This window comes from Homo sapiens, chromosome 3 (genome assembly GCF_000001405.40).
Source record: "Homo sapiens chromosome 3, GRCh38.p14 Primary Assembly".
In the NCBI taxonomy this organism is placed as follows: domain Eukaryota; kingdom Metazoa; phylum Chordata; class Mammalia; order Primates; family Hominidae; genus Homo; species Homo sapiens.
Window position 1 is genome coordinate 62,780,657 of NC_000003.12, and position 14,893 is coordinate 62,795,549.

The 14,893-nt window shown below is 37.9% G+C and overlaps 1 protein-coding gene across 51 annotated transcripts in view; it reads right to left on the bottom strand.

The window, feature by feature from the left end:
- Positions 1 to 14,893, bottom strand: part of CADPS (calcium dependent secretion activator) — a 477,069-nt gene that overhangs the window by 382,309 nt on the left and 79,867 nt on the right. The window lies entirely within an intron of this gene.

Here is a 14,893-nt window from a genome sequence, read left to right on the forward strand (position 1 = left end):
AAAAGATGATCCCCCAAATTATAGCATTATTGATCTAATGAACATTAACCAATTTTGAATATAACTCAGCAAACTTATTTTTCCATTCCTTTGCTGGCTGCCTATAAAAATCTCTCATCATTTATTGCTCTTTGAACCAGCTTTTCCATCTTGCTAGTTCCTTCATTAATCAGTTAAATAAATCTTTGATAACAGCTCATTAGATATTTATATGAGTCATGTTTTTAACTTTGTGAAAAATATACTTTGACAATATATAAGGGACTTATCATAGGGCTTGGCAGTAAAGTGCTATCCAATAAATGTTAGTCGTTATCTATATCTTAGGACTCGTACATTTATTTTTTAAAAAGATACTATTAGGGCTGATACTATTAGGGTACAATTTGCTTCATTATCTGTGATTCTGTCTGCTAATATGAATGAGATATACTCAGATAAGCAACCAAACTTGTGTTGCAGGAGGTGTGTTTTTCTGGGGTAAGAGGACACGTACTGCTATATTCACATAAAACATAACCAGGAGACTTGTCCTAGGGCAGACTCCACAATCTCTCTCAGGAATGTTTGCTACCCTGAAGGCATACAGCAGACAAAGCCACCAGCCCTTTAGCAGCTGAGTTGGCTGCTGCCAAATATAAGAGCAGTGAATCTACTAGCAGGAAGAACTTGAGGCCATGTCAGAATGCATACTCCATGGATACACTCCCATTTAGAAATACAAAAGTCACTCCTCCTTTCAAACCTCTCCTTTCAAAGAGTAAGTGGATTTGAAGTTGGGTGTGAAGCCCAGAGAAGAGTAGATACGCTGAATCAGCCTCCTGGGCCTCTGACACATCAGCAGAGAAGGGACAATGACACACGTGACTCCCAGCATGGGCAGCCAAGACTCCAGAAGCAGAAATGGACAGGGGAGCAATGTGGGACAAGTATTCTGAAAAGAGCAAGTTACGTTCTGTTGGGAGGGGCCAAAGGGCTAGAGAGAAAACTAATCCTGGGAGCGAGAACACACCCACGATTGTGTGTGGGGGCACATGGCAGCTGAGGTGATCTGAGACGCCCCATGGAAGCCAGTACTCAAAGCCAAGCAGACGGCAAGATGGTAGGGGAGATACAAAAGCTGCACATTCCAAGTCTTTGCACCTCAAAGACCACCTTTGGAAGCTTGTCTCTTTGATTATGAAAAAATAAAAATAAAAATAAAGGACCACAGCAGGCCTTACAGCCTTCGCTTCACTGAAATTCTTCATTTGTATTTGGTCCCCAGAGCCCTCACAATTTGACTGAGACTTTTGAGTTCTAAGAAGCTTCTATGAAAAGCTAAATATCAATTTCTAGTCACTCATTTCCTAATGTCTCCCTTTACCACACTCAGTTGACATCTGCTCTCCTGAGAGATCTGGATTTTTGGTGAAGGTTTGGAAGGACAGACGCATCATTCTGGAATGTTGGTTAAAAACATATGTGGAAAGGAGAAGATATTCAAAGGTGGGAGACAGAAAAGAAATACCAGGGGGGAAAAAAGACATTTCCCCCTTCTGGTAATTTTTGTACAAGGTGGGCATTAATGAAGCCTCTCTAAAGTTTAACATCAGGACTTACTGTTCAAATTTCAGAAGGCCTAATTCATCCATCCAGCCAGCCAGCCAGCGAGCCACTCATGCACACATCCACCCACCTGTTCAACTATTTATTAAGCATCACTATGTGCCAAGCACTGTTCTAGGCATTGAAAAGTCAGTAATAATTTAAAAAGCAAACGATCTTGCCCTTTTGGAGCTACCATTCTAGTTGACGATCATGAGGCCCAATGGATGACATGAGTTCACGCCCAACACTTTACTTAATGTGTCATTAAAAGAGGTAAATTTGGACTCACATTTTTTCATGAAGACACCAAAGGGCAAAATGGCTTCATGAGTCAGATTTGGCCATGAATGATGGTCACATTTCTTTCTCTAAAAAGATGTACAGCATTGAAAGAGCAGAAATATTAGATTACATGGGGGCTAAACCCTGGATCAGAGAAAAGTGGCCTCGAAAATTATCTTTGGTGCATAAGCATGGGATTTTAGGAGTTTTGCATATAGTGTAGCATTTCTTTCTTTTTTTTTTTTTTTTGAGACGGAGTCTTGCTCTGTTGCCCAGGCTGGAGTGCAGTGACCCGATCTCATCTCACTGCAACCTCTGCCTCCTGGGTTCAAACGATTCTCCTACCTTAGCCTCTCAAGTAGCTGGGATTACAGGTGCCCGCCACCATGCCTGGCTAATTTTTGTATTTTTAGTAGAGATGGGGTTTTGCCATGTTGGCCAGGCTGGTCTCAAACTCCTGACCTCAGGTTATCCACCTGCCTCAGCTTCCGAAAGTGCTGGGATTACAGGCGTGAGCCATTGCACCTGGCCTAGTCTAGCATTTTTTAATATAGCATCTTACATTCCTCCAGAAAATTGTTATGGTTCCAAAAAGAAAACAAACGCTAAAAATGTGTGGCTTTACTCGCACAAAGGTGACCTAAGTCATCAGTCTGAGACCTGGGCAAGCAATGTCAGTGATGTGTGTTCTCTCTGTTTCCTAGTAAACGGCAAACTCTAGTTTCAAGCACAGGTGGGAATGGTGCACCTCAACTTTTTTTTTTTTTTGAACCACTAAGAACTGCTATTGTTTCCTTCTACAGACCCAAGTTCTGAAAGACAACTTCCTAAAACTCTGTATTTATCAAGTAATGGTAAACCAAGACTATTTCTTATTTTTATTAATCTGAGCCTCAGGTTAGCAGTACCTCTACACTGAACTAATTCCAGGTCTGATGTGTTAGCGGTCCTGGGAAAATTGAAAGACAGCAAATATATATTGGGGTTCCTGGGGTCTGGAGCTAGACAACTATGTGGGACTTGAATTCCGGCTCAGCATTTATTAGTTGTGAGACCTTAAGCAATTTTCTTAACCTGTTAGACACAATTATAAAGTTAGGGGAGGCAAGTTAAAAAAGATATATATGTAAGACTGTTTGTTAAAGTATTACTTATAATAGCAAATGTCTGTTACTGGGGACTGGTTAAATAACAATTTTGTCTCCACACGCTCAAGTACTGTACAAGTATAAAAGGAGTTGAGAATAGCTTTAGATACTGTTATAGAATGAACTCCATTGGATATTGTTAATTTAAAAATATGAGGTGGAGAAACACATGTATAGCATGGTATTATTTATCTGAGAGAAGGAGAGAAATACACACAAATGCATACACGTGTGAATGCACACATGCACACTTACATTACAAAAATGGAAAACAAAGCAAAGCTTAAAATGAAATGATGTCTAGAGTGTGACCTCTGAATACCATTTCCTATGAAACTTAACCAGGGTTCCTTGGAGCAATGGCTGATTTCCTGTCTTAAGCATGAAATGTACATGATGACGCTTATCTTACCGGAAATTAAGGAAGCTATCAAAGACTGCTGGGATTCTATTTAAAAAGGACACAGAAACCAATTAAAGGAGGCTCTCACTGGCCATAGATGGTTTAAGAATGTGTAAAAATAATGGCTACACAGTATGTGATGTCAAATTATTTAAATCGTAACATTACTCATAAAACCAAATATATAAATGATCACCTTCCAAGGATGTTAAGGTACCAATACATTATTTTGATAACATAAGTATCAAGCTTTTTGTGTGTGTTTGTGCATACCATATGAATTGCATCTCAGACTAAATAAATAATTCATGAGAAAAATTTTCTCTTTATAGGCTTTTTCCAGCTAATACATGAAAAATAGAATGATACTCTTCACCCTGTTGCAACTCCCAATAAAATAACAGATGTAGGCAATTGTCACTGATGGATATTAACAGTCCCCAAAGAGAGAGAACTATTTATTATGTGTCTACTGATGGAAGTACAAATACTGCCTCTGAAGTATTCTTGTAGAAGAATCAAATATTAATGTGATAATCACTGGATCCTATTACCAATTTATGGGGAATGGAGAGAACTATGTTAAATAATACCAACGGGTGTAACCAGCAAAATCCACATTGTGGGAAACTCTCCAAGAAAAATGATCTAGTATCTTCAAGTAAAGAATGCAAGCAAAAACAAAAAAAAAAAATAGGGAGAGAGAAATTCTATAGATTAAAAGATACACAAGGGCCATATCAATCCATTGCAATGTATGCAGCTCATTTGGAACCTGATTTGAATGAGTGAACTAGAAAATATTTGTGAGATCTTTAAGGAAGTTGTAAACTGACTGAATATTTGAGGATATTAAAGAGTTACTGTTAGGGTTTCAGGTGTAATAATGGTACGGTGGGTTATGTTTGAAAAACAGATCTTTATATTTTGGAGATTCATATTATAATATCTATAAATATAATGTTATGCCTGGAACATGCTTTAAAATAATTCATTTCAGGAGCATAGGGAGCACACATGAAAGAGATTAACCATGAAGTGATCATTAACAAGTTGGATGATGGGTACAAGAGGGTTAGTTAAACTAACCTCTCTACCTGTTTATATGTATATATGTTTGATATTTTCATAATTTAGAGTGTTTTTAAAAGTTAGTGAGTGATATAACTCTGGTGGGAGTGGTGGCGGGGTCAAAGGCAGGGAATGCCAGTGACCAGGTCTATTTATAGCAATGTAACTTTCCCACCATGATCATGTTTCATCTCAACCTCCTAGCACTGTGAGAGTTTCATTTGTTTGTGCCACACTGCAAACATTTTGAAAAGCTGCTTTTTGAATGTCATACACCTTGAGCCTTGCTTTGCCATCCATCGTTTTTGTTGTTGTTGTTGATACCAAAGTAACCTTCTTATAGAACTGCATTACTCACCCAGTACATAATGGTGAGATCTCTGGTCATTCCCAAGACTGAAAGAATGTAATGTGATACTGTTAAAGACCCATCAGCTTCCCTGCTCCCATACCTGCTCAAGGTGAGTAAGCTGATGATAAGAAAGTAAGCACAGTGAGTAGCAAAATGGCAGAATCAACACTGCTTATTTCTCACTGGCCATATTAGGAGGTTACAACAGATGAGTTCTTCAAATCTCTCAAGATCAGCCTTTCCCAGTGCAAATAGGAAAAATATTTGATATATGGATCTTTATCAACACTGAACCATGACCTGTGCATACTGTGTCTTGAGATGTTAGCTAATGATAGCTTGAAACCATCATAATTAGTAAGACATAAAAAACCAAGCATCTAGGACACAAAGAAAAACTCTTTTCAAAAAGAAAAAAAAAAAAAAAGGGCCAGGAATGGTGACTCAAGCCTGTAATTCCAGCATTTTGGGAGGCTGAGACAGGCGGATCATTTGAGGCCAGGAGTTCAAAACCAGACTGGCCATCGTGGTGAAACCCCGTCTCTACTAAAAATACAAAAATTAGCTGGGCATGGTGGTGCATGCCTGTATTCCCAGCTACTCAGGAGGCTGAGGCACAAGAATCGCTTGAACGTGGGAGGCAGAGGTTGCAGTGAGCCGAGATTGTGCCACTGCATTCCAGCCTGGGGGACAGAGCAAGACTCTGCTCAAAATAAAATAAAAATAAATAAAAATAAAGTTATTTTCTTGTTAATCAGTGAAAAAAAGGATGTTATGCAGAAAGCAATTTAAAAGTAGAAACTCTTTTTGGAAATGACTCTTCTAGTGTGTGATGTGAGGATGTACCCATATATTTGACATGCTTATAAAAATCTCTAATGGTAATTCCAGCATTTTGGGAGGCTGAGGCAGGGAGATTGCTTAAGGTCAGGAGTTCAAGAGCAGCCAGGGCAACATAGCAAGACCCTATCTCTAAAAAAATAAATACATTAGCTAGGTATGGTGTCACATGCCTGTAGTCCCAGCTACTGAAGTAGGAGGCTAAAGTAGGATAAGAGCTTGAACTCAGGAGTTCGAGGTTAAAGTGAGCTATGATCATGCCACTGCACTTCAGCCTGGGTGACAGAGTGAGAACCTGTCCCTACCAAACACACACACATGCACATGTGCACACACACACACAAACATCTTCCTAAAGTATTGTAAATCATCTTATAAACTTAATTAATCTGCTCTCAGAGGTTTTGAACTAAGAATTTTAGTAAGTTTTAAAGAAATTTTCAAAAAAATGTAAAGATGAAACATTTATTGAATAATAACAAGAGATCGACACTAGAAAAGACAGCAATTTGCTAGCAGATTTTTAAAAAATCCTGGAGTAGTTGGTGGGTAGAATTGAAACACAGATATCTTGGTGCAGCCAAGCAATGCCTGTCTTTCATTTGAATCTAAGGATATTTCTGAGGCATCTTTTTCAGTTATGATCAAGTATTTTTTTAAAAAACCTCAAGCCGGGCATAGTGGCTCATGTCTGTAATCTCAACACTTTGGGAGGCTGAGGCAGGAGGATCGCTTGATCTCCGGAGTTAGAGACTAGTCTGAGCAATATGGCGAAAACCTGTCTCTACCAAAAATATAAAAAATTAGCCGGGCATGGTTGCATGCACCTGTGGTCCCACCTACGTGGGAGGCTGAGGCAGGAGGATCACTTGAGTCCAGGAGGCGGAGGTTGTAGTGAGCCAAGATCGCACCACTGCACTCCAGCCTGGGTGACAGAGCAAGATCCTGTCTCACACACACATGCAAAAAACCAAAAGCCCCAGAACTTTTCCTTTAAGTTACTAATTCAGAAAGCGTGAAACAAAAATTTTCAAAAATACTGAAGCATATTCAAGCATATTTTTGATTAAAATATTATTTTACTTTATTTTCATGAGTGAAAACATAAATAAATCAATGTATTTATCATACCATTGATAAATACAACCAAAACATTATTTTATCTATGACTCGCCCTTTTAAATGTACACTTTTATCTATATTTTCCATAGTATATTAGCATAATACTAATTATTAATAAATGAGTACAAAGAAGAGGGTATCCTCAAAATGTTTTACTGATAGGATGTGTGTTCAAAATAGCTTGGAAACCATGGATATAGTGATTAAGGGTCTTCATTTTGGAATCAGACTGCTTAAGTTTGAATTTTGAATCTATTGTGAACTTTGGACAATAGCTTGGCTTGTCTAAGCCTCAGTTTGTCTGTAAGACAAGTATACTAATAGTAACTGCATGACTATTATAAAGATTAAATGAGATAATATGTGATGTTGTAGCTCTGTCTTTGGCACATGGTAAGTATGCCAAAATGTTAGGTACTATTACGATAATCATTATCATTGCCCTCATCCTTGTCATCATCATCCTCATCATGAAATCAAGCTGTCTAGTCACAGTCATTCATGTTCTAAATATAATAATAAAATATAAGTAATCTTCAATGTGTCTTTAATGTGTTTCTCACAGTTGTATAAAAAATGTCATACTTATTTTGGCAGTTTTATTAAAGGTACAGCTGCTCAACTAGGTCAGATGTCCCTCAAGGCCCGCTTGAATGATGTGATATGAACACACCACACAGTTAAATCTGAAATAACTGAAGGACAGGCAGTGAATGCAATACCTTTTCTCATTAGATACCTCCCTTAATTATTTACAAAGTGCATGAATGAAAAATAAGAGGGTCTTGGAAGAAATCGGGCAGGACATACGCCAAGTACTTATAACCATACGTATTGTTACTTCAATTTCCTCTAGAGTTCTGCTTGTGTGGCTGAATCCCTAGGTTTTCTCAGATAAAAACCAACTGAGTTAAGAAGAGGTTGAGAAAAGCACGCACTTCACCACGAAGTCGGTGACCCATGGAAAGCTACACACTTCTCAATGTCTAGATCTTAAACAAGATCGTAAATAAGGTCTTAAATGATCTTAAACAAGATCCACGCCTTCAATCCATGTGTTTTGAAGACGTATCAGAATGATCTTGGGACCCGACACAGCTGTATTTGTAAAATTTGCAAAGCTATTGTATGTGTACTTTAGTCCTGTTTTAGCTTTTGATGTGATGATATTCCTTGTTGGTAGGGATTTCCTGCAGACAGGGTCTTTCTTAAATAATGGAATTATTAGTGTATTTTCAATCAGTTGACTTCTGTTTGAATAAACTGCTGTCTTGCCCCTCTTTTTGTACTCTACCAGAGAGCTAACAAATATGGGCAAAATAAATCTCTCCTTATGAAGGAAAGCAGGATTTTGCCCATATATTTTTCCAAGAGGATTTTAAAAATAAACTCCACTGAACTTTAAATTTGAAGTACTAAGGGCTTAGGGTACCTGTGACTCGTCTTAAGTAGGACTGCAAATAGGAAACAGAGTTGAGGCTCCAATATTAATCTGGCTCCATATTCAATGCTGGTGATTTCGAAGACATTCATTCAATGATCACAAAAATATGTTCTCCCTGACTTTTGCTGAGAGCAGATATTAGTTTCTGAATGATTGATTTTATTGGCCAGATTGTGGTGGTTCAAAGCACTGAGCAGAACTGTGGCAACATAAAACTGACACATATTCATTCTCAATCACTGGTGTTTATGAAGTTCTAGTATCAATGGCCACTATCTGAGCTAGAGTTGGTGCCAAGAGCTTTATATGTACTATCCTGGGGGTTCTTCTTGACAATACTGAGAAATAAGCACTGCTATTACAAGTGAGGAAACCAAGACTTAAGGAGACTGAGGAACATATCCAAAGTCACACAGCCAGAATGGAGTAAGACTCCAAGTTCCAACCTAAAGCCAATGTTCTTAATAAACCCATTATATAGTCACCCCAAAAGGGGAGTAGGAGTATGTGAGTCTAATCAGCACACTTAAAGCATTTTATTGAAAATGGCAGGCCTGTTAGCATTTTCCTTGTTTTTCATAAATTTAACAGTATTTTGCTCAGGCTACTTTGCCCCAGTATGTTGTTCTTTGAGACTCAGTAACTATCAATTGACAGCAAGGAAGAAGTTTTACCAATAGGCTGGCAAAGAAGCTGGGAGGGGTGCAGAAGCCAGCTTCACACTGAACACGTTCCAGAGATATTCAACAACAGAAGTAATCCATATGAGAAAACAAAGGGAGTAGCTGGAGTCTTTCAGAAGTTTTATGTTTATTCTTAGACACAGTTTCAAATAAACCTATCAAAATATTGCAGTGCAGTGAGAATGTGAATAATAACTCCAAAGAAAGTAATAATTATAATTAACGTGTATCAAGCCTTATTATGTGCTAGGCTCTCAGCCAAGCCCTTAACATAGTTTTTCCTGCTCTCACTCCCTTCAACAAACTTTTATTGAGGGCCCACTATGTGTTTGGTCCTATTCTAAACTCTGTGAAATAGAGCCTTGAAAAAAATAGCCATAGTCCATGCTCTCAGGGAGTTTACTTTTATATATTGTCTTTTAGGTACATGAATACAAGCTTTTTGGAGGAAAATTTGCAAATTTTCATCAGAAGGCTTAAAATTCTTTAAAATATGTGATTTTTGATATTATCATATAATGAAATAATACTTCAGACACTAGAAATGATTTAGAATTTTATGAAATGATGCAGGAAAATGTTCATAAAGAGTATGCAACATATATTTTTATAAATTATGGACACAGAAAAAATAAGAAGGCTACATAATCACCAACTTTATAGTAGTATCTCTGAATAACTGGATTGTGGGTGATTTACATTTTATGCATTTTTATTTGTTTTTTCTAAATTCCTATGATGAATAAGTACTACTGATACAAGAGAAATTACTTTATAAATATTGTAGCCCTATTCATTTCTATTCCAGACCATTTGTTCTGAATCTTATGTCTCCATGTATATTTGTTTCTGAATCTAATGTCTCCATATATATTTTGAAAGAGTATAAGAAATGGAAGTAAACAGTGCTATATTTCAGTGATTACTGTCATTTAGAGGCAAATAGTACAGTGGGGAGTCACAGAACTAGATTCATACTAGTTCAGCAAATATCATTTTGCACCTAGGACCAGTTCTAACTACCAAGAACTTCAGATTACATCTCCTGTTTGAGCCTTCCTTTACCCATCTATAAAATGAAAGGATTGGAAAAAGTGATTTTTAAGGATATTGTCAATGATCAAAAGTTATTTTCCTTGCTCTATTGACAACGACTATGGCTTCTAGACCTTTGGGCATTCATGGAAGTCCAGCTCTTAACAAAGCTACACATGGAGAAAAGTCACATTGTGATTCAAAGGGACCAGAGAGTGTCTATTTGCAGATACACCCTCATATATTTTCTGAGTCTAATTAGAATATTTTCAATAAAGTTCTGATGCTTTTGTTACCGTCATGATAATTCTGTGTTATTTTAAAAATGGTGACTTTTTTTTTTATCCTCAAGCACATGTGTTGGCTCCTAAGTAAAAAAAAAAATACGTATTTATCAGTATTCTTTGTGCAATATTTCTGTTTCCCATCAAATGTTCAAGTGACTTACATATGACTAGGACAAAACAAGAGGGGAGACAAAATTCCAGGTCCATTAAATGAGATATGAATGTAACTGGGAATCTTAAAGCAGATTCTTTTCCTATACACACTGAATATTCTATAGCAGTATAGTGCAATGGGACTTTTTGGAATGGTAGAAGTGCTCTATATCTGCACTGTACAATATGGTAGACAATAGCTACATGTGGTTAGTTAGTGCTTGCAATATGACTAGTGTGAATGAAGAACTGAATTTAATTTCAATTAATTGAAATAGCTACCTGTGGCTAGTGACTACCATATTGTGCAGCTCAGGTTACAGCCTTGCTATATAGAATATGTCTCATGGACCAGCAGCATCAGCATTATCTGGGAATTACTAGAAATGCAGAATTGTTAGAAATGCAGAATCTCATTCCCTATTGTAACCTACTGAATCAGAATCTGCATTTTAACAAGATCTCCAGGTTGATTCATATGAAAACTCATGTATGAGAAGCATTGCTCTAGAGAAAATTGCTCAACTTTCCATTTCATTGCATCAGTCAATCAAGCAACCAAATGATCTCTCAATAAGTCAGCAGGTACCAGTATCTGCTCATGGCACCAGGCACCGGATAAGTCACGGCAGGAAAACGGAAAAGATATAGGAATGTGCACTATGCAGTACAGCATGGCAGATAATTACCTTTCAAACTGTTCTGGCAATGCCCTTTCCTAAATGTGTCACGTTAAGCAAGATAGTTTACCTCTCTGTTTCCCCATCCTTTAAACAGAAACAGTTTGTGAAGATTAAATTAGATAATGTACTTTAAGTGCTTAGCACATGCCTGGCATATAGCATGTACCCAATAAATTGTCATTTTGCTGTTGTTTTACTTATCAAGGCTCTTATAATGAAGCTGCAGGAGATTCACATCCTTAAACCACCTGGACCTTTGTGGAACATGTGGGTATTAACTACAGCCCATGCTGAAAAGATGCTGAATCTTATGTGGCTTCATTCTCCAAGAATGCACCACTCTAATCAATATCAGCATGTAGGAAGATAAAACACTTCAGTACGGACATATTGTTCATTATATAAAATGTCAAAAGAGAGTCAATTCATGTGACTAATGAAGGTGTTTAACTTTTTTTTTTTTTTTGAGATAGGGTCTTGCTCTGTTGCCCAGGCTGGAGTGCAATGGTGTGATCACAGCTCACTGCAACCTTGACCTTGACCTCTCAGGCTCAAGTGATCCTCTCACCTTAGCCTCCTGAGCAGCTTGGACTACAGGCATGCACCCCCATGCCTGGCTAATTTTTAAATTATTTTGTAGAGACAGGGTCTTACTAAGTTGCCAGGCTAGTCTCAAACTCCTGGGCTCAGGTAATGCTCCCGCCTCAGCCTCCCACAGTGTTGGGATTACAGATATGAGCCATTGTGCCCAGCCTTGTTTAACTTTTAAATGTCATGTCCTCTGCCACAGGATCTTGGTATATTTTCTGAATGAAAGCTCGCATTATAATTAATTTACTTAAAAAACTTATTTTTTATTTTTTAGAGACAAAGTCACACTCTGTCACCTAGGCTGGAGTGCAGTGGCAAAATCATAGCTCACTACAACCTTGAACTCCTAGGCTCAAACAATCCCCCTGCATTAGCTTCCCAAGTAGCTAGCACTACAAATGCATGCCATCATGCTTGGCAATTTGTTTTTTATTTTTTGTAGGGACAGGGTCTCACTATGTTTCTCAGGCTGGCCTCAAACTCCTGGCCTCAGGTGATCCTCCTACCTTAACTTCCCAAAGTACTGGGATTACAGGCATAAGTCACTGCACACAGCTAACAAATATTTATTGATAACTTAGTTTTGGGAGAAGGTTTAAGGATGGATTCTGCAGTCAGACTACTTGGATCAGAAGCCCAGTTCTGCCACCTAGCAGCACATTTTAAATCTTTTCTGTACCTTAATATCTTCATCTGTAAAATGGGAAAACTACAGTAATGAATGACCGTTTAAAAAACTGCCTAAAACTTGTCAGCATAAGAAGTGTTTGGAAGTACTTTTCTTCACAAATTAGTACTACCCCTACTTTGCTCAGCTTTCAGACCAAATGCTGCAAGAACTTATGAATGCCAAGTGACAACAAGTATTTATAATGCTTGTGAAACATTAACAAACAAAATTTAATATGGTGTAGAATGTGGCATCACTATTTATTTAAAATATGGTCCTTTTGGTATTCTTTGTAACTGGGTCTTCTTCAAAGGAATCCAAAACAGACCTGAATTATACACAATCAGTTTCAGCGGTGCTGTTGACCAAATTTATCCATGAATTGAATTAAAAATTATAGAAGAGTTTGGAGGAAGACGTTCAGCATTTGAGCTAATATGTGCAGCAGATCACTCCATTAAGCATCATTTCTCATTTTGCCGCATCACAGTTAAACCAGAATGTGGACCTTTTGATATAAACCACTGCTGGAAAATGACTGTACCAAGTAACTGGGTTCTTTCCTCTGACTCATCCTGACCCCAGCTACAGAAAACCAGTTATCTCATATTGATTAGGGATGGGCTTACTTTTGGAGGGTAATTAATCTGTTTTTTAAGAGAGCTAATAGTTAGATTCATGGACTTTCACATACAATTTTTTTAAAAATTGAAACCATCCTGAGCATATGGTATGAATGTGTGTGTGCGCACGTGCGTGTGTGTACGTGCGTGCACATGTGTGCGTGCATGCATATTTGTTTGATGATTTTGTTCCTCAAAATCATTGTTATAAATTACAGATAACACTGTGGAAAATCCCTAGAAGAGAAAGAGTTCCAATTAACATCCAATTTGTTGTTGGGGTCTGTGGAACTCCCTGGGGTGTCCTAGAGCCAAGAAGTCCAGGCAAAACTAAAGATCCTTGGGCTTCCAACTCAATTATCCCTCACCCTCTCAAATGAACAAGCAAATAAAATATACACTCAAAATCTGCCAAGATACACATGTGAATAAATGGACTAGTGGAATCCAGCGATAACTCTAATTTAAATAAAAAATATGATGGAATGATGAGTAACAGCTTGGGCTCTAAAATCAGTCTGGGTTCAGTTCCCAGCTCTGCCAGTGACTACTAACCATGAAACCTTGGCACATGATATAAAGCCTCTGAAGTTTCCCTGTGTGTAGAATGCGGATAACAACTGTGTCAACTAGATACATTTGTTATAATAATTAAGTAAGTAGTGATGGAAGCTTGTATTTACATCAGCATGTATGAACTGCTCCTTTAAGCACTTTTTGTATATTCCCTAGTTACTCCTCACAGTGGTCCACAGGATGTGCAGTTATCTGCTCCCTGTCTCCACTATACAGATGAGGATATAAATACACATATATTTAGTAACTTGCAGAAAAACAACAGAGCTGGTAAGTGGAGCAGGTAGTGTTCGAACTCAGGAGGCCAGACTCCAGAGCCCACATGTAAACCATTCTGCATAAGATGTTTGATATAGTTACAGGTATTTAGTAAATAATCATAATCAGTAAATATTAGCTATTCTTGTTATTGTATTTATGGTAGATGGTAATGAAAACTATAACAAAAACTATTGCTAATGTCCCTCATTCCATCATCTTTTTTCCCTAAGGATGGGAGGGCCCCGCGGATACGTTTCTGTGGGCTAGAGAATCTGTTGTTCATGTTTACAAGACAGACGCAAGGTGGTAAAAAAAAAAAAAAAAAAAAAAAAATGCAAGAGCTCTTCCTGATGAATATTCTGGTCTCAGTAGTCTAGGTAAAGAATTTTTAAAAATCTAATTTCTCCCTTGTCTTGCACATCAGTTTGGAGAATGTGGATGCCAGTAATTATCCTGTGGCGGGCTCTCATTCAGATCACTGTCTCTTTGCCAGAGCGCTATGGGTTCTCAGGGGGCCTTTCTCTGCAGGCTGCTGAGTGCTTTTGGTCTCAGAGCTACCCACAAGCCACTCATGTTTACTGACATCTTCCTAAGAACTCAGACTCTCCATCTCTCTTGACGGAAAATGGCCATATAATTAAAGATCTCTATATACGAATAGACTTCCTCTTCCTCAAAATCTTGATCTCTTGTCTCACTGCAGGGCCTTTGCACACACTAGAATACTCTCCCACCAGCTCTTGGCAAAACCTCACCCTTCTGGTATCATTTTTGAAATCACCATCTCTAAGAGGCTTGCTCTTCCTAATCTAAATCTCTTCCACTACAACCCTTTCATCACCCTCACATTTTCTATTTCCCCAGAGTACTTACCATTAAAAAAATACTCTTGTTAGCATATGCCCTAGATGTAAGCTCCATGAGGTAGGGCCCTTGTTTTTCTTGTTCGTCACTGCACATTCTATCTTAGCATGTGACACTCAATAAACATTAAATCAACAAATACATAAATTTGCTTCTCCTTACATTAGCTGGATTCTTCAGACCGTTCTTGTTTACTAAGGCTTGTATTTTTAAGG